The following is a 19,500-nucleotide window of genomic DNA, read 5'->3' on the forward strand; positions in this document are numbered from 1 at the left end:
CTGGAGTATTCCACAGACCCCATGTAGGTACTGCACCTTTGCAGGTATACTGCTGGTGTTGGTGAGCTGCCTTACCTGTCCTGTTATTGGAGACCCCTGCTTATTAGGAAACTTAAAATGAACTCAAATGAGCTTCCTTGCTTACTGGTCCTAGTCCTTTGGAGCAACATAGGCCAGTTCTGCCTCGTTTTTTTCCATCCTTTGGGTATTTGACGGTCTATTTTGTAGGACACAAAATGTGGGAAAATAGCTAGGCAGGTTTAAAAATTCTCAACTCTACCAAGCATGGTGGCTTATGTCTGTAATCAATCCCAGCACTTTGTGAAGCTGAGGCAAGAGGATTGCTTGAGCCTAGGAGTTTGAGACCAGACTGGGCAACATAGCAAGACCTCGTTTCTTAAAAAAAAAAAAAAAATTACAAAAATTAACCAGGCATGGTGGCACACACCTGTAGTCCCTTCTACTCAGGAGGCTGAGGTGGGAGGATCACTTGAGCCCAAAAGTTGAAGGCTGCAGTGCACTGTGGTCATGCCACCGCACTCCAGCATGGGAGGCAGAGCAAGACCCTGTCTCCAAATAAATAAATAAATTAAATTCTTAACTCATTCATCAAAGTATCCACTGTAGCTTTCCATGATCCTGGTGTTGTTTTTTTTAGAAGGATCTGGCTCCATTGCCCGGCTAGAGTGCAGTGGCATGATCTCAGCTCACTGCAGCCCCCACCTCTCTGGCTTAAGCGATCATCCCACTTCAGTCACCCATCTGGGTAATTTTTGTATTTTTTGTAGAGATGGGGTTTTGCCATGTTGCCCCAGGTTGGTCTTGAACTCCTGGCTCAAGCGATCCATCTGCCTCCATCTCCTAAAGTGTTGGGATTACAGGTGTGAGCCACCACACCAGGACAATCCTGGTGGCTTTTAACGGTTTTCCATTGCTCTCAGGCTAATGACCTATAAGCCCCTGCGGGCTTGGCCTTTTACTCCCTCAGCATTAGCCACCTCCCTTAGCCTTAGCCCACACTACTCTCCCCTTGCTCAGTGTTATCCAGACACTTTGTTTTTTCCTTTCCATACTCCTCTCTGTCTGGGAATCCAACCTTTCTTTCTCATTTCTCTAGTTGATTATTATTATTTTTACTCTAGCAGCCTTATTGAGATATTTACATACCGTACGATTCTCCCACTTACAGTGTACAATTCAATTTTCTAACATTTTCATCACCCCCTAAAGAAACCCTATACTCATTAGCAGTCACTCCCCATTCTCCCCTCCTCTCAGCCCCTAGAAACCATGAATCTACTATCCATCTCTATAGATTTGCCTTCTGGACATTTCATATGTATGAAATTATGCAATTTGTGGTCTCTGATGGGCTTCTTTTGTTACCAAAATATCATGGGTTTGATCTAGGTCCTGCTGCTCGCTGCACAGAAAGCCAGCCACTGAGATGACAAGTATTGCCAAGGAAGAAGGCTTTAGTCAGGTGCTGCAGCTGAGGAGATGGGGGCTCAATCTCAAATCCATCTCCCTGACCTAAAACCAGGGGTTTGGATAGCAGGGAAGAAATGTAACAATGCGTAAGAAAACAGGAACCAGGGAGGGGCAAGGAAGCAATCCTGATGAATGAGTGGTCCAAAGTCTCATTGCCTGGATGTGGTGATCTGGCGAGTTTCAGTTCTTTGATACTTTTTTTGAGAGGCCTGAAGTCTTTTCCCCAGGAAGGAACTCAAACAAAACAAATACAAGCTTCCAGCTTTAAGACCAGAAGCGTCAATTTCTATGTTTATCCGAAAGAACAGTCTATGGGACTATTGGTTAAGTTTCACTTTCACTTAGTATGCTGTTTTCAAGGTTTATCCACATAGCATGTGTCAGTACTTCATTCTTTTATGACTGGGTATTCTATTGTGCGGATATACAATATTTTATTTGCCATTCATCAGTTGATGGACATCTAGGTTCTTTCCACTTTTTGGCTATTATGAATAATGCTGTTATGAACTTTCATGTATAAGTTTTTGTGTAGACATATGTTTTCAACACTCATGGGTATATACCTAATGAGAGGAATTACTGTGTCATACGATAATTCTATCTTTAACCATTTGAGGAACTGCCAGACTGTTTTCCAAAGCAGCTGCAGCATTTTACATTCCTACCAGCAGTGTATGAAAGTTCCAGTTTCTTTACATCCTCAACAACACTTGTTATTGTCCATCTTTTAAATTACAACCATCCTAGTGGTTGTGAAATGGTATCACATTGTGGTTTTTATTTGTATTTCCTTGATGACTAATGATGTTAAGCATCTTTTTATGTGTTTACTGGCCATTTGTATATCTCTATTCAGAGTCTTTGCCAATTTTTAAATTGGGTCAGTTGTCTTCTTCCTTTTTTTTTGAGATGGAGCCTCACTCTGTTTCCCAGCTGGAATACAGTGGTGTGATCTCAGCTCACTGCAACTTCCACCTCCTGTGTTCAAGTGATTCTGGTGCCTCAGCCTCCCAAGTAGCTGGGATTACACGCACCTGCCACCATTCCCAGCTAATTTTTTTCTTTGTATTTTGAGTAGAGACGGGGTTTCACCATGTTGGCCAGGCTAGTCTCTTTGTTGACTCTTAACCATCCTTCAGTCTCAGACAAAACATCCCTTTCTCAAGGATTGTGATTAGCTTGATTATTTGCTTATCTTTCTCCCTGCTAGTCTGTAAACTGAGGGTAGGCCACTATATTCATTGTTCTTGGCACCAAATAGAAACTAAATTAATGTCTTTTGAATGAATAGGGCTTTCTCCTTTTAAAGATCCCTTCAATACAGTAACCACACTATATATAAGTAGCCACAAGCCCATTCAATAATACTACTAGCTCTTATAGCCCATATGTCTCTGCCTTGTCTACCACAATATCAGTAGAGACTTTGCTAAATGCAATGGTAAAAATCAAAATACAGGCTGGGTACGGTGGTTCATGCTTGTAATCCCAGCACTTTGGGAAGCCAAGGTGGCAGGATTGCTTGAAGCCAGGCATTTGAGACCAGCCTGGGAAACATAGAGAGACCCCATCTCTATGAACCACACCCCCAACCCTCCCAGAAAAGAAATAAGTATGGCTGGGTTGAAGTCACCAAAGATGGCTGACTGGCTGGTCAAGTAACTTTACCTGATGGTTTGTAGAATATTTACCTTCACCCAGGTGGGAGAATTGCTTGAGCCAACCCTCAGTGTGGATTCAGGAACTTGATTTAATTGGTATCGTGATTGTGGATTAGATTCTCAGGGATGCATTCACTAAGTAAAAGTGATAATAGCTACTTTTAAGTAAAATAATGAATGAATCAAACACTCTAAATCCATGGTGCTATGCTAAGCTCTTTCTGTATTTTATCTCATTTGATATTACAAATATTTGATGTGTTAATAGTAATGACTATCTCCATTTTTACAAGTAAGGAAACTGACATTGAGAGATTAAAAGACTAGCACAAATCACAAAGTAAATGAGATTTGAATCCGGTCTTGATTCCAAACTCTACAGTATTCTAAATTCAAGGAGACTAAATTATAAGATGGAGAGCCAATTTTACTTTATAACAGGGTTAGAATGGCAGAAGAGACCTGACATTCACACCTCTAGCCAGTGCATCATCTTCCTGTAGGCAAATATGCAGGAAATCTATAATAAGAACGTCCTTTGGTGAAGGCCAGGTGCAGGGGCTTACACTTGTAATTCCAGCACTTTGGGAGGTCAAGGTGGGAGGGTCGCTTGATGACAGGAGTTTGAGAACAGCCTGGGCAACATAGTGAGACCCTGTCTCTACAAACAAAAACAAACACAAAACAACTTCAAGAAAACTCCTTTGGTATGGATCAGAACAAGATGAATTATCTATCTGATCCAAATGCTTAATGACATTAAGCCACAGTCCACTCACTGCCACAATAGAGATATACCTGCCAATGCCACTCAGGTAATCCCATCAAAAGTGGTAATGAGGTCTGCAGCATGACTTGTTCTTAGTGATCCCAGCCTGAGACCTTGAGATTGCAGCATTTTATTCTACATATGCACAAAACATCTGTTGAAAAATCTTCTAAATTGATGCAATACATTCGTATCAAGAATACCTGTCTGTAATCTCCATAAACCCTCTCCTTTCTGTTTTAAAAAATAGTAACAGCATTTCTCCTTACATGACAAAGAAATGACTTCACCATCTACGAAATAGTGAATAGGAGCTGTGTGGAAGGAAATTAGCTCTACTTCTTGGTGGAGATGAGAAGGGAGTGTTCCTCTGAAAATCAAGGCTCTTGTCATGCTAGGAGCCAAAGTCGTTTTTTAGAGTGTGGACAGTTGAGAAGATAAGACAGGGACCATCCACTCATGTTTTTCTTATTCCATAGGCCTCTCTCAATTGGGCAAAGCACTCCAGACCTTTTGGAAGAGTGACACCAAAGGCAAGCACCTGCTTGGCAGGCCCCTCAGCTTCTACGCAAGTATAAGTGAGTATATAAAATGGGGGTACTTGTGCTGTTGAGTACCTTATTTCCAAATGAGGCCTGCCGGTGTCCCTGTGGCTGTGAGAAGGCCTCTACTGGATAGGTGGAAGTTGTGTGTTCTCATCTTTTCTAACCCTGGATTGACTTGCCCAAAAGGAAGCCATTATTAACACTATAATAAAACCATCCTTAATCTGGGACTCTCTTCATGCAGTGGTTCTTAACCAGTGATAAACATGAGAGTTACTTTTGGAGCTTAAAAAAATTAAGATGCTCAAGGTCTACCCAAACTGACTGAATCTCCAGAGGTGAGGCCCAGGGATGTATACTTTTGAGCCAGACCTCAGTTTACCCTGCAGAGCTCATAAGGTTGCATAACACCCTTTGTCAGCCACTCTGATAAAAAGAAAAATTGGTGAGGAATAAGTTTTAGAGAAGAAGGAGCAAAGGTGTTCTTGGCCAGTGAGAGCCAATGACAGGGAAATGCAAACAATGTATCCACAAGAAAGGTAAATTACCCTATAGAGCATTTTAGGATAAATGAACATCTCATGCCTAGGGTTGAGAGAGGGTACAAAAAAAAAAAAAAAAAAGACCACTCTGGATACACAACGCGATAAATGGAATAAAGAGTTTTTTCCTTGTAAATTAAAAAAAATCCTTTGTTACTGAGGTATAATTTAATCTATTTTATGTATAGTTCAATGAGGTGCTATAGATAATAAATTTTTTTTGTAAATTATTATATTGTCATATACTCATACATTCATTTTTAAAAGTCAGAAATGTATATAACCATTAAACTTATAAATCATTCAGTCATTCAGAGATATAGATACACGAGCATATTTTATATCCACCACAATAATTATTACCATCTCAACAATTCCATCACCCCTCAAATTTCAAGCGTAGGGGTTTTTAAATGTCAGAGGAGTCTACTCAGTGGGAGGAAGGTTAGGGAAATATCTTTTGGCTTTTTGCTTCTGTCCCTTGGGTTTAAAGGCAGGGATTTGGCTTTACTCTCATTGATTTGGAACTTGATATATAGGACTGTAAGAAAAGAAATAGACTGTAACAAGTTCTGTGCTAAGACTGTTGAGTCTCACCATGGTGACTCTCTTACTGTTTAGGCAATGAGGGAGGTGGGGCAGACCATAAGGATAGCTGGCCTGGGAGAATAACGCTCCAAGGCCATTTCTACAATGATTCCATATTTCACTGTTAATCAGAGACTGAGCAGCTATTATACTTTTTAAGATTTCTTGAATTTGTGTTGCTTGCTCAGTGTTTTGTATTTCCTTATTTCTTAAAATATATTAATATAAAAATAATTCTTTAATATTTCTTAAAACAAAAGGACATTAAGGAATCAAGTCTTACTTAGTCTTGCTCTAGCCAGACTTGGGCTAAGGAAACCCTAGGAAAGTCGTGGCTGCTAGAAAGAACAGGATGAGACAAATGAGAGACCAGTTCTCTGTGGTGCTCTGTATCAGTTAAGCTAGATTTGACTGCAAGTCATAGCAAACCCAGTGAAATGGCTTAATAACAGTAGCATTTCTTGTTTTCTTAAAATCTGGAGGTAGGTTCTCGGTGTAACAATGTTGTCAGAGATGCTGGCTCTTTTTCTCCTTCCACTCTGCATTCTTCATTGTGTGGCTCTGACTTCCCAGTCGTTGCAAGTTGCTGACCACAGTTCTAAGCTTCACTTCCTCATAGAACATATCTCATTCAAGGAAGAAGGAAGATAAAGGACCATCTATATGGCTCTTTATTTTATCAAGGTAGAAAATCTTTTCCAGAAGTTGTTTCCAGATCGACATCTCATTTGATAGGATTAAGTCAACGTGACTTAGTCATGTAAGAATAGAATGAACATAATCTTAAACCAATTGGATTCATCAATTGGGGAAGGGCATGTTGACTTCTCAGTGAAATCAGGGTTCTGTCAGTAAGGAAGAAGAAGAGATGGCAATTGCATGGACAAACAACAGTGTTCACCATATACTTCTCTTCTCCCTTTGACATCACTTTTAGGATTTTATCTACTACATACCTACTGATGTCTTTCATATCTATATACAGTTATTTTTCTGAGTTCCAGATAGGTTATCATCTCCCCATTGTACATCTGCAATTGAGTGTCCTTCTAGTAGCTCAAATTACATGCCTAAAATTTTACTCATCATTCATCCTGGAATGGAGAAGACCTCCATATTTCTACCAAAAATATGGTTAAGACGCTGCCACTCATCCAGTCTCCAGTACCAAGAAACAGGGTCATCTTAGACTACTCCTTACCCAAATCTACCACACCTAATTCCAAGATCCCTTGATTTTAACCTTGATTTTCCAACTAAATATATCTTGCATCCATGCTTTGATCTATTAGTTGTTCTTTTAAAATTCTCTTTTATATATTTTTTAACATTTTTAAAAATTTATCTTTTGAGACTGGGTCTCACTCTGTTGCCCAGGTTGGGGTGCAATGGTGTGATTATGGCTCACTGCAGCCTCCATCTCCCAGGCTCAAGTGATCCTCCCACCTCAAGCCTCCCGAGTAGCTGGGACTACAGGTGTGTACTACCATGTCCAGCTCATTTTTTAATTTTTCATTTTTTTTTGTAGAGATGAGATCTCACTATGTTGCCTAGGCTGGTCTTGAACTCCTGACCTCAAGTGATCTTCCCACCTTGGCCTCCCAAAGTGCTGGGATTACAGGTCTGAGCCACCGTGCCTGGCCTATTAGTTGTTTTTAATGTAGCTCTGTATGTGTGAGTTTGTATAAAGATGGGAACACATGTTTTGTGTATGTGTAATGTGAGCTTTAAGTGAACCCGGAAATATTATCATTCTTAATGCCATTTATGCATACTGGCAGCTAACAAAGAGGAGAAAAAAATATAAAATCTTGGTTTGATTTTATAAAGTAACACTAAATACAATTATTTATGTAAACATTTACCATTTGTCCCTAATTACCATGCAGTAAAATAATGATTAAGGCAATGAATAACTATGTGTCAGAGAATTTTGTTGCAAGCTTTATTTAGTTATGACTGATAACACTCTATCAATCACTATTGTTGATAATAATGTAACATTATGGTCTGATCACAATTTTTAGAACCTAGAAGAAACATTGATTACATTCCAGAAAAGAAAGTTTTGATAACAGTGGTCTCATGGTTGTCAAAGTTGAGTTCATCTAATTTTAGCTTGTAGGACTTGATTGCAGGTGGAATTGAAACAAGAATGCCCAGGTAAGTTTAATGGCAAAAGAGTCAAAGATCGGACCAATTACTGGCTCAAGGTAATTAATGTACATTTATTATATGATTACAGGTCTCCCAAGTACTAGAATGCAGAGTTTCCTGGCTATGGGATAAGCACAACTTGGACCAAAATGCCCTGTATTAATGAAATCAAACTTACTTATCCCAGAAAACACTGTCTGCTATTGTGGAGGATGCCTGGTCACACTCAGAGGATGAAGGGGTTCCCATAAATATAGTATATTATAATTATCTTAAATATATTTATAAATACATATATAAATAATAATTAAAAAATAACATTTCGTGCTTTGCCTTCATCTTGAGGCTCGGCTTCAAGAAGTATTTTACCAAAATGACCTCCCTGATTAGCATAAAAAACTGTTGCGGCAGGAAGGCTTAGGTATTATTCCCTCCATTTTGAAAATGATAAAACTGAGGTCCCAGAAACTTATGCTATTTGATTAAGAGTTCATCAGCAACTTAAAAGTAGAAGGCAAACAGTTGAAATGAAATCATGAAATCCTAGGTCTGTGGCTTCTTGTTTCAACTGCTATTGTGCATATTTCTTAGTTTTCTTATGCCTTAATTTGCCCATCTGTAATATGGGTAGAGTCTTTTTGGTAGCCATAGTCAGTAGCTCTGGTCCTCCTAAAATTGTTATGAAGAATAATAATTAAAATGATTGGTACTATGCAAAATATAGGGTGTTCTTTAAATAACAACATTATATGTTAGTGTTGGTTCCACTCTTACAAAGAGTGTAAACATTCATTTAGAATTACAAGGCTCAGTACATGCTCAGCAAATGACTAACAGTAAAGGATTTAGCTTCTTCATGTACATGGTACATATGAACTGTCAACACTGCACAAGTGAGACAAGTGAGACTCCAGACCTACGCCTGGTTTTCCAGTATCTGAAAGTCAGTGATAGAGGGTGGCCCCCCTGCCAAGCACACCCAGTAGTCTTGCTTTGTGGCAATAAACAAGTTTGGATGGGCAACTGATGTGAAATAGTTCTTAGTGCCGTGAGTTTCCCAGAAGAAGAGGAGGTTGGTCTCACTACCTGTGATGGTTTTGGGTATCTCAGGCATCTCCTATGAAGAAAAGAAGAGAATTCTGTTAGAGAACAAGATGGTAGAAAAAGGACTGAAGCTCAATCCCTTAGCATTTGGCCTTCATGAGAAACAGCACTTTAGGACTATGGCTGTAACATGATGCTATAGGCTCTTCATTCATTTGTTCATTCAGCAAGCATTTATTACATGCCTAGTAGATGTGTGGCCCAGTCTATTAATAAGAGTTGATTTCCTTAGTTGATTGGAGAGAGATCTAAATTAGTTATGAAGATTGTCAGTGACACTAGTATCTTACTGTATCCAGGCAGGTAGGAGGGAAACATTGTTTCTGTCCTGCCTTCAACATAGGCCTAAGACATTTTGCATCAAATCTGAGCACTACAGTGATTCTAAGCCCCCTAAACATTTTGATCTCCAAGTGAACAAATCATACCTTTGGAAATCAATTTAGCATTTAGATGACATTTATCTCAGTATTTAAGTCAACAATTGAAGGTTAAACACACGCACACACATACACACACACACATACACACAAAATTCCTAAGTATATCAGTAAACTCTTTCAATATACTCTTTAGAATGTACTTTTCTTGTGAGTATGAGTAGAATTTAACAATACTTTTATGGAAAAATAGATTTCAAATTCCAAGTTGAGATGCTTCTTTCCTATTCTTTTAAATCTAAAGCAAGTAAATATACTTTTGAGGCTTCCTTGGGGTTTCCAATGTCAGCAGGATTTATTTCCCAAACCTATTCCTCTCCTACTTTTTCCCTTCTCAGTAAATGTTGTTTCTCCTCTTCCTTCTGTTGGTTCTATCTCCAAAATATAACCCAATTCTGTCTGTTTCTTTCCACTTCTTTTCCTTACCCCACCCCCATGACTGCTGTGAAACCTCCTCATTGGACTTTCTGCTTCTCTATTGCCTTCCTTCTGATCTGTTTTCTATTTTAGGAAATATAAGTGAGGTCAGGCCATTGCACTGTGTGAAACCCATTAATGGGTTTTCATTGTACCTCAAATGAAATCCAAATGCAAGCTCTGCAAGCACTAGTCTCTGCATATTTTTCCTCCTTCTCAAAATGCCCCAGTTCCAAGAATGCTTCTTCTGATCCTTGGAGCTGTCCTTTACCATCTTGAAGTTGTAGGCCTGGGTGCATTCAGACTCCTCTGAATGTCCCAAAAACCCACAACCATGACCCGCCCCCTCCTCTGAATGTCCTACCCAAAAACCCACAACCACGACCCGCCCCCTCCTCTGAATGTCCTACCCAAAAACCCACAACCACGACCCGCCCCCTCCTCTGAATGTCCTACCCAAAAACCCACAACCACGACCCGCCCCCTCCTCTGAATGTCCTACCCAAAAACCCACAACCACGACCCGCCCCCTCCTCTGAATGTCCTACCCAAAAACCCACAACCACGACCCGCCCCCTCCTCTGAATGTCCTACCCAAAAACCCACAACCACGACCCGCCCCCTCCTCTGAATGTCCTACCCAAAAACCCACAACCACGACCCGCCCCCTCCTCTGAATGTCCTACCCAAAAACCCACAACCACGACCCGCCCCCTCCTCTGAATGTCCTACCCAAAAACCCACAACCACGACCCGCCCCCTCCTCTGAATGTCCTACCCAAAAACCCACAACCACGACCCGCCCCCTCCTCTGAATGTCCTACCCAAAAACCCACAACCACGACCCGCCCCCTCCTCTGAATGTCCTACCCAAAAACCCACAACCATGACCCGCCCCCTCCTGTCGGCAGCTCTCATCTCACAAGGGGCTTTGTTTTTACCACTTTGTCTAAATAGCACTCTCCCACTTTTCTCTATCTTAGCACCCTATTCATTTTTTTTTTTTTTTGCAGCATCTTGCTCTTTTGTTGGTTGTTTGGGTTGTCTGTTTTCCATATCCTCCAGAAGACTAAGTTCTATGAGACTAGAGGCTTTGATGCACCACTGTCCACACTGCTGTTGGCACTATGCCTGAAAAATAGAAGGCTCTCAGTGAATAATGCTTGTTGAATGAGTTCATGAATGAAGCTACTGCCCTACTCTGTAGACATCACTTGATCCAGGTAGAAAAGCACAGGCAGGCACATAAATTCTACTTGGGAATAGAAGGTCTTGGATTATATACTTACAAATTGAGTCACCTACTTATCAGTGGAGAAAACATCTAAGGCTGTTGTGTGTGTGTGTGTTTGAGGGGGAAAGTGGTAGTGGAGACAGGACTGGGACGAAGGATAATGCTGACATCAATGCAGAGAGAGGGGAACTGGAAGCAGCAGGCCCCATTTTGGGACTTGGCTCCCAGCTTGTTGCTTTGTGCCCATTGGCAGGTGATTAATCCTCTCTGATCTCAGTTGGCTTATTTGAGTTTCTTGGAGGCAGGCCACATTGTCCTAATGTCTAGTATTGTGTAGGTCAGATAATAGATGTCAGTAAAGATCAATGGAATAAATGGATGCTCTGGGATGGGAGGTGAATAAGGTCAGGCAGGGAAAGGAAAAAGAAAGAAGGTAATTTTCCTCTTACTCTCTGTTATATTTTCTCATAGAGCCTGCCTAGGCACGCCTCTGGAATCAATGGGAGTGGGGTGGGCAGGTGGGGGCTGTGGTAGGAAGGAAAGAGGACAGTGTCACCTTGTTAGAGGTGTCTGCCTATTGGGCTTATTTACAAACATATGAGATGTAAATGAAGGTAAGTTGGAGACAAAGGACAACTGACCTTCAGCAGCACTGGTTGGTCTTCATCTTGGGCAGTCACATACAATTGAGTTTTTGAGATTCTTAGAATCACGGTAATTTTAGCATCATCCTTTGATGACTTATAAGCACCCATGTCAAATTTCACTGGTGAAGAGAAGAACCAAAAAGAAAGTAAATTCATTGTATTTGTATAAAATCAAGTGTTGATGTAGATTGTGTGTGCATGGTGTGTGTGTGTGTGTGTGTGTGTGTGTGTGTGTGTGTGTAGTTAGGTCCCCACCTATGGTGTAAATACCTGGAAGTCAGGAATGGAATTCTATACATCTTTGTGTCCTTCACAATGTCTTCCACACTCACTAGGCAGGTAAATACTTGGTTAATGTTCTTAGAATTTTCTACGTTGAATGAATCCTTCGGGGCTGAATAAGTGTTGAATCTCTTATAATTTCATTAGTGGGATAAGACCCTGTAATTTGTTAGATCATAAGTTCATAATGACCTAACATGGAGGGGTTTAGGAAGCTGATACACTCATATGTTGCTAGTGATACTGAAAAGTAGTTCAGTTTTTACTTACAGAATAATGTTTAATAAGAGCTGTCAAATTATTTGTGCCCATTGATCTAGGCATTCCTCTTTGGGATGTGCTCAAAGAAATTACAAGATAGGAGAAAAAACAATAATATATACAAAGATATTTGCAATCAAGCTATTTAGAGTAAACCCAAGGGACCAACGTAGCAACCTGATTGAATTGTCTAGTGATATTAAAAATGGCAAATACATACACGATGTCAATATTGGGAAAATTGCAGAAATAATATTAAGTAGAAAAATAGAACACAAAATAATTTGTAAATGTAGAGTTGAAAGCATGTTAGCTGAAGTGCATCCAATCAGAAAAAGTCTTGCTTGTTTATTGCAAAATTGCCTCTCTGGACCTTTGAAAATATGTATACTGTTGAAACTAAAACATGTCCGCCATGAAAATTGGATGTGTGTGATAAAAGTTTTTGGACACTAAACTTCATCCTTTAAGCCATATTTGTAGCTTATTGGAGGTTTTGCCTCACAAATATGTTATCAGAGATAATAAAGATCTTCCTAGTTTGGTGTTACTTGTGAGTTTGATCAACAGACTTTTTAAAGGAGAGTGATTGTTCTTCATTGGCTTCTGGGTAAATCTGAGTAAATCATTTAATATGTCTGACAGTTTCCTCAGTTTTAAAATTGAGGGTAAGAATGTCTGAAAGAACCAAAGAGGTAGTACATCAGCTAGCTTTGTGCACAACCCTTTACTCTCAAAGATAGGAAACTTCTCTCTTGTGGAACTTCCAGATTTAGTTGAACCTTCTGCCCTGGCTTGGGATTTTTATGGGGGTGCTGTGCTTCAAGCTATTCTGGAAGAATTGTGCAACCCAGAACTCTGAAGAGGTATGTTTTTTGCAAGCAGAAAGATTGAAATAAATAAATAAGTAAATGAAAGGAGGGGAGGATGACAGAAATGTCTGGTGCCATTTTAATGTACCTGCTTCATCCAGATTATGTAATGCAGCAGCCGTGAGGTACTGATCATTGGCTCGAATTATACTTTGATTGAGGGCGTCATTCAGGATGAATTCGTATTTGATGATCCTCATAAAGTTGTATTTCACATTGCTCAGGAAGCTAAAAGGTGCTGACCTAGGCTTGATGATTTCTAAAACCATGATCACAAGTGCAGATTAATGTCTATGTACAAACACAGATGATATACACAGTCTAGTACAAACAGGGAAAATAGTTCTGGAGGGGATATTAGGAATATTCCAATCCAGATGAGGAAGCAAAGAGAAGTGAAATCACCCAGTCAGCAGAACTGGTTTTCTAGGATTATCCTTGTTGTTGCTTATGTGCTTCTTTTTAAACTTCAATTCCTCAGGCAATAGTTTCATTGTTTTTAGAGACTATTTGTGCAACTTTTTCATTTTTCATTGTTTGGGTGTTTCTAACTGACAAGGAAGACTACCAGTATTTCCCGTCTATGTTTTCAAATGAATGCACTCTGAGAAAAAAAGAATGCATTAAAAATAATTATATATGTCACAGAGAGTGCAAAGTGGCACATATCAATAGCGTCACAAATCCTCATGGCTCTGGGAAATTCTACTTCTAGGAATATATTCTAAGGAAATAAAGGGTGAGAGAAATGAATATTTATTTATACAGATGTTCATTGTTGCATTGCTTATAATGGTGAAAAACGGGCACTCTAAAATGTCCTCAATACATTGCTAAGTAAGAAAAGCTGGATATAAAGTTGTAAATAGTGTGGTCTTGATGTTAGACATATTTGTTCACATGTAGGTATGTGTATAGCAAAGATTTTAAGGAAACATACCATAGTGCTGGCAGTAGTAAACTCTCACTGACGATATGAGTGATTTTTATTTTCTTATATTTTGTTACATTTTAAAACCTTCTAGGTGAACATGCGTTATTGCTTAGGTATTATCTTAAAAACAGGAATATTGGGTTTATAGTTCATGTGGAGGCTTGTACAGTAAAGGGATGGAGGAGAAACCATGATTTTTTTACTCAGGTAGAACTGAATTAGATTTGAGGCTCTCCCACTTACAGATGTATGCCATTGGGCAGTTTACCTATCTCAATGAGCTTAGTTTCCTTTTATGTAAAATGAGAAGGTAGGATTCTTGTGAGGTTTAGACATAATCCAGTCATTAATAAATTAGTATTGCTGGTAGTATTCATATAGGTAGTAGTAGTAGTAATAATAATAATAATCATAGGCCGGGCGCGGTGGCTCACGCCTGTAATCCCGGCACTTTGGGAGGCCAAGGTGGGTGGATCACGAGGAGATGGAGACCACGGTGAAACTCCGTCTCTACTAAAAATACAAAAAATTAGCCGGGAACAGTGGCGGGTGCCTGTATTCCCAGCTACTCAGGAGGCTGAGGCAGGAGAATGGCATGAACCCAGGAGGCAGAGCTTGCAGTGAGCCGAGATTGCGCCACTGCACTCCAGCCTGGGTGACAGAGCCAGACTCCATCTCAAAAAAATAAAATAAAATAATAATAATAATGATAGTAATAGCTAACATTTATTGGGTGCTTACTTTGTACCAGACATTATTCTAGTCCAGAAGTTAGGGGATGTTGACTCATTTAATCTTTATAACAGTCAGGAGGGCCCAGCTAGCTCAGTCTGTAAAGCCTGAGACTCTTAATCTTTACAGCAGTCCAATGAGTGGGGGATTCTGATTATCTCCATTTTACAGTAGAGGAAACTGAATCACGAAAAGATTATGTAACATGACCAAGGAGGCATAGTTAGTATGAGAGGAACATAGCTCGTAAGTGGTCTTATTACTGCTTTCTCCTGAAAGGCTAAAAGTCACACGACCTTTACAATATGGCTAAGAAATAATGGCTGTGAGCAAGTATTCTCGATTCAGGCCACTGCTCATTTCTCCCTCCTGGAGAAGGATAAAAATTAATTTTCCTCTGTATAGTTACCAGACTAATGCTTGGTTGTCTTCTTGTTATTCTGACTCCACGTTTAATTTTCCCCTAAATTCTACTGTCCCTACTTGCTTAAAACTGTAAAAGAAAGATATTATTGTGCTTGACCCCTTACCTTCCTCTGAGTCATTGGCGATGGCCTCCAGGTCATCATCAGTGATGGATTGGCTTAAACTCAACCGTCTCTTCTTCAGAACCTTCCCGTTGGTTGCTACTACCACCATGCTCTCCTTGAAGGTAAGCTTGGATGTTTTAGAGGTTTCAGAGATACTCAGAGACACAGATTGATCCATGCAGCCTTCATGGAGTGGGCCATAGCTTACATGATAGAAGGATTTCTGTGAGGAAGGAAAACAGAAGCTGAGAGGCTGTTCATGGTCAGGGAATGAAAGTTCTTTCAGTAGGTGCTGTATTCAACAGAGGTAGTGAGGAGGATCTCCATTCTGGTCTTAGGTAACTGGTGTTTCATTAGGCTTCCCTCCCTCTCTCCCTTTTGTCTCACCTTCCTTCCTCCTTCCAGGATAAAAAGATGATTTTTTTAGGAAGACTTTTTCATTTATTTGCATGCTCAAAAATGAGATGTTGTAACTAAATAGGTTAACAATGATTGTAGTGAGTGGTAGCTTTCCAATTAGTTCCCTCTCAGGAGGTTAAAAATCTGCTTAACAATGCTCAAAATATTTTAGAAATACTCCTTTGGGGACAGCTTTTAAAGCCAGTACTGAAGACATACTAGGCAGTACTTATAGTGTCTATTTGTGGTCTCCAAACACAATAACACAGATTGATGAGTGGCTGTAGACTTCTCACTTTCAACTGGCTTGCTTCCTCTCTCTCAGCTTCATGTTTGGAGACTTTCTCTAACCTCTGATGCTGGTGTCAGAGAAGACAACCACAACACATCACGTTAGGAGACAGACACCTGGTGAAGCGGCCTGCGGGGCCTTTCTCAGGATGGCATAACTAACATCCTGATGAAGCCTGCCCCAGGAGACTCCAGTTCTCAGGGATTTGGGATGGTTCTGCTCTGTTCTGGGAGAAGCCAATGCACATCAACTATTAGTTTAGAGAGGCAGCTGGTCTCACTTATAATGAAAGACAGGTCTCTGGACCTCTAGTGAGGGTAAAACAAAAGTATTGAAGATTCAAGTCATTGCTGTTCTCTTTGGATGAAGAAACCACTGTGTAAGAATAGCAGTCCCATGAGAATTACAGTCATTTGCTTACCTGATTCAGAGACAGATGATCAATGGAGGAACTGTCTTCTTCATTTTCACTGTCAAAATAAGATGATGAGAATGTAATTGTTGTTATTTCAGTGTGGTCTCTGGCCAATGTACTTTAATGACCATGATAGTTGTGGGTCACACACATACACATGGCCATTACTGTCATCTTTGAAATTTAAGGACTTCTACACATACACATAGGTAGAGTAATTCATATCTTACTAATCTGGAATTAGTAGTCATCAAGACAGGCTTTGAGCTTTACCTGTGCTTTATCTGTAAAAATTGGACTTGGCTAACAAATTGAAGAGCTTTAATTGAAGTTCAGGGAAGAATGTTAAGCTCCTTTAGAGAAAAGAAAGGTTTTGAAGCACTTCCTTTTTATTTTAACCAAATAGATTATATGTTACACATTACTTTCATGTATTCACTAAAACAGATTTCATAATTTATACTTAGTAAAATATCCAGGCAAAATTTTGACAGCCTAGTTTGTGTTAGTATTTACTACAGATAATGGAAACATCATGTTAGTTTAATATGTTCCGTAATTTTATCTTTGTGTTCATTTACCTTTCTTCTACATCTGAGTGAGATTTGCCTGCATATGTGAGTTCACATGCCCAGCTTGCTGTGGAGCCATTTCCTGTTCCTGAATGAGATCAAGTTTTCCTGAGAATGGACCAGTAAAACCCATTCTTATATCAGGGCATGTGATCTCAACAGAGGCTGTGTCTAAGTTGATGCTGATATTCATGTAGGGCTCAGCAGACCTCAAAAATAATTTTTCTAAAATGGCGGTCTCCCTGCCAATGTAATCTCAGTTTAACATGCTGAATGCTTAGTTTTTCTGGGTCTTCTCTGAACCTGCTCTGACTTCAGGACTAGTACACATCTCTACAACCTCTGCCGGCCTGCCCCCATGCTGGCCACTGTTATGCCTAGCTGGATTCTGGTGAGCCTTGAAACCCTCATTAAATCACAAGAGATAAATCTTATTCCTTACCTGTAACAGTTCTTCAGGTCTTCAAACATGTCTGGAACTTTGGCCATCTTGACTTCTGCAACAGAGAACACCAGCCACCATCAGCTCAGCCAGCCTCTAATCCAGATATCTGTGAGGGGAGCCCCTCCTCTTTGTGCTTCCTGAAAACTTTGTTGAATGACTTAGTCCACATTCAGCATTTTCTCCATCTTCTAGCTCCTTTGAATTAGTTTGCTATGTACCTGTCTCCTTTATTAGATCGTAAACTTCTTTTAGAATGTTTTATTTATGTTGGTATTCCTTATGTGCCCAACCTAATGTATTGCCAGAACAGGCATTCAATCAATGAAAGTTTGAAGAGGTTACAAAAACACCACAAGAATAAGGTATTTGCCTTACACAGAGGTAAGAGAGAGACAGAGTTGGAAATTTTCAATTTTCTCCTAATAATTTTGGATAGTAGAGATTCCCTCCCATGAGAAGCCTCAGTTGTATTCACCCATGCCCTCATAGGAAACTAGTTCTGCTGTCCCTCAGTATAACGAATCAGTCCTTATCAGCAAAATGAGAGAATCATTTTCTGAAATCTGACTGTAATTCTAGGTCACATACCAAACCAGGGAGGGACAAGAAAAGAAAGGAGAGGCTGTAGCTTTAGAGAAGGCAATGTGAGAGAAAACAGCCAAAGAGAAAAACAACAACAGAAAATACTTTAATAGCCAGAGATGTGAGGACAATACCTTTGCTGACTCAAACGCCAATGAAATGACTCCCTCTCTGGCTGGCAGCTTAAGCCTGAGTCAGTCTTCTTCGCCTTTTGTAATTGTCTTAAGTAGGCGTGGCTACGTGGCTACAAGTGCGTCGTCAAAACGGGGAATTTACAGGGAAGAATTCAGTTTTGTATTTTTCTATGTTCATTCAACTCGATACTGGCTAAAATAGTGAAAGATGGCATAGCTGATATTATTGTTGTTTGCAGATATTCCAGAAGTTATTGATTTGGTTCATTTATTCACCCCTTTGCTTTATAAGATGACAAACATGTAGTCTTAGAAAAAGGGAAGCGCGGGAAACTTATCAAGTTTCTAGGAGGAAGGGAGAAATCGTGAAATCCGAAGTCAAGGGGCTAGATTTGGAGAGGAATTTATTAATAATAATAGTTCTAATAGTAGCTGTAGTTGTGTTCTGGCTGAATTTGTTGATTGTGCTCCAGGGTGAATTGGCAGAATACTTGGCAGCTCCTGGCAACTTTTGAGGGAAAATGAGCCATCTTTTCTGAAGAGGGAAGTTTGCTTGATTAAGGCATAAATCACCTCAGAGTTTGGGGTGACAAGCTCCTGGTTAGGGCAGGGTAGAGAAGAGAACAGTGGTATTTGAGCACAAAGAAGTCTTGATCCTCTTACTCTTCTGAATATTGTCAACACATTTCCTATAGAGGGGATGGAGCTTCAGGAGAGAACTCTCCACCCTGGCCCTGTTACAGTAAAGTAGCCCTCTACCAAGGACCAGAGAGAAGCCTGGTCTTCTGTAGGATATGCCCAAGGTGTGTCTTCTGTAGAAGAAGGTGTGTGCAAGCCCCGGGAGGTATGCGTAAGGCCTCAGCCAGAAGCCAGTGGCTAAGTTTGGGAATGGAGATTGGGAGAAAGGAAGGCATGGATTTTTACATATGAGCCTTCAATGGTGTTGCCTGGTTACTATTATTAAAGAATTTCTCAGCTTTTATAATTCCTGTGGCCAGCCTAGTTCAGGTGGTAGAACACCAGACTCTTAGCAAATGAATGTTTTGGGTTCCCAGTTGGAGTTTAAGCCATGTATATTTTAAATAGAGGAAATGAACTAGGTGTGATGGCATGCCCCTGTAGTCCCAGCTATTCAGGAGGCTGAGGCAGGACAATCACTTGAGGCCCAGAGTTTTAGTCCAGTGTGGGCAACATAGTGAAGCCCCCATCTCTAAAAAATAATAAACGCAAAAAAGCATGGATCTGGGAGGAAAGCAGCTTGTGTGAGTTGGATAAAGTATTCCCTCTGTTCCTGTTTAATTGTAAATAATGGGGTTGGTTAGGTGTCATAAGGTCTATTGCAGGTGCAAAATCTCTTATTCTGATTTAATGCCAGTCTAATTCTCCTGGTCATAGACCTGGTGCTATAATAGTTATAACAGGAGCCACAGAAATAACCACACTTGGATGTAA

The 19,500-nt window shown here is 40.1% G+C and overlaps 1 protein-coding gene across 2 annotated transcripts; it reads right to left on the reverse strand.

Moving 5' to 3' along the window:
- On the reverse strand, window positions 7,531-18,099 carry IL1A (interleukin 1 alpha). Of its 2 annotated transcripts, none has more exons than NM_000575.5 (7): window positions 18,049-18,099; window positions 17,330-17,384; window positions 16,322-16,370; window positions 15,210-15,432; window positions 13,102-13,272; window positions 11,593-11,717; window positions 7,531-8,873 (listed from the first exon to the last, which is right to left on the reverse strand). In NM_000575.5, exons 2-7 carry the CDS (start codon window positions 17,374-17,376, stop codon window positions 8,673-8,675), a joined length of 816 nt encoding a protein of 271 aa, NP_000566.3. In that variant the 5' UTR covers window positions 17,377-17,384; window positions 18,049-18,099; the 3' UTR covers window positions 7,531-8,672. The 2 variants fall into 2 exon arrangements, with proteins under 2 accessions (NP_000566.3, NP_001358483.1); NM_001371554.1 differs by lacking the exon at window positions 18,049-18,099 and adding an exon at window positions 17,921-18,006.

The sequence above is a fragment of the Homo sapiens genome, chromosome 2 (assembly GCF_000001405.40).
Source record: "Homo sapiens chromosome 2, GRCh38.p14 Primary Assembly".
Taxonomy (NCBI): Eukaryota; Metazoa; Chordata; class Mammalia; order Primates; family Hominidae; genus Homo; species Homo sapiens.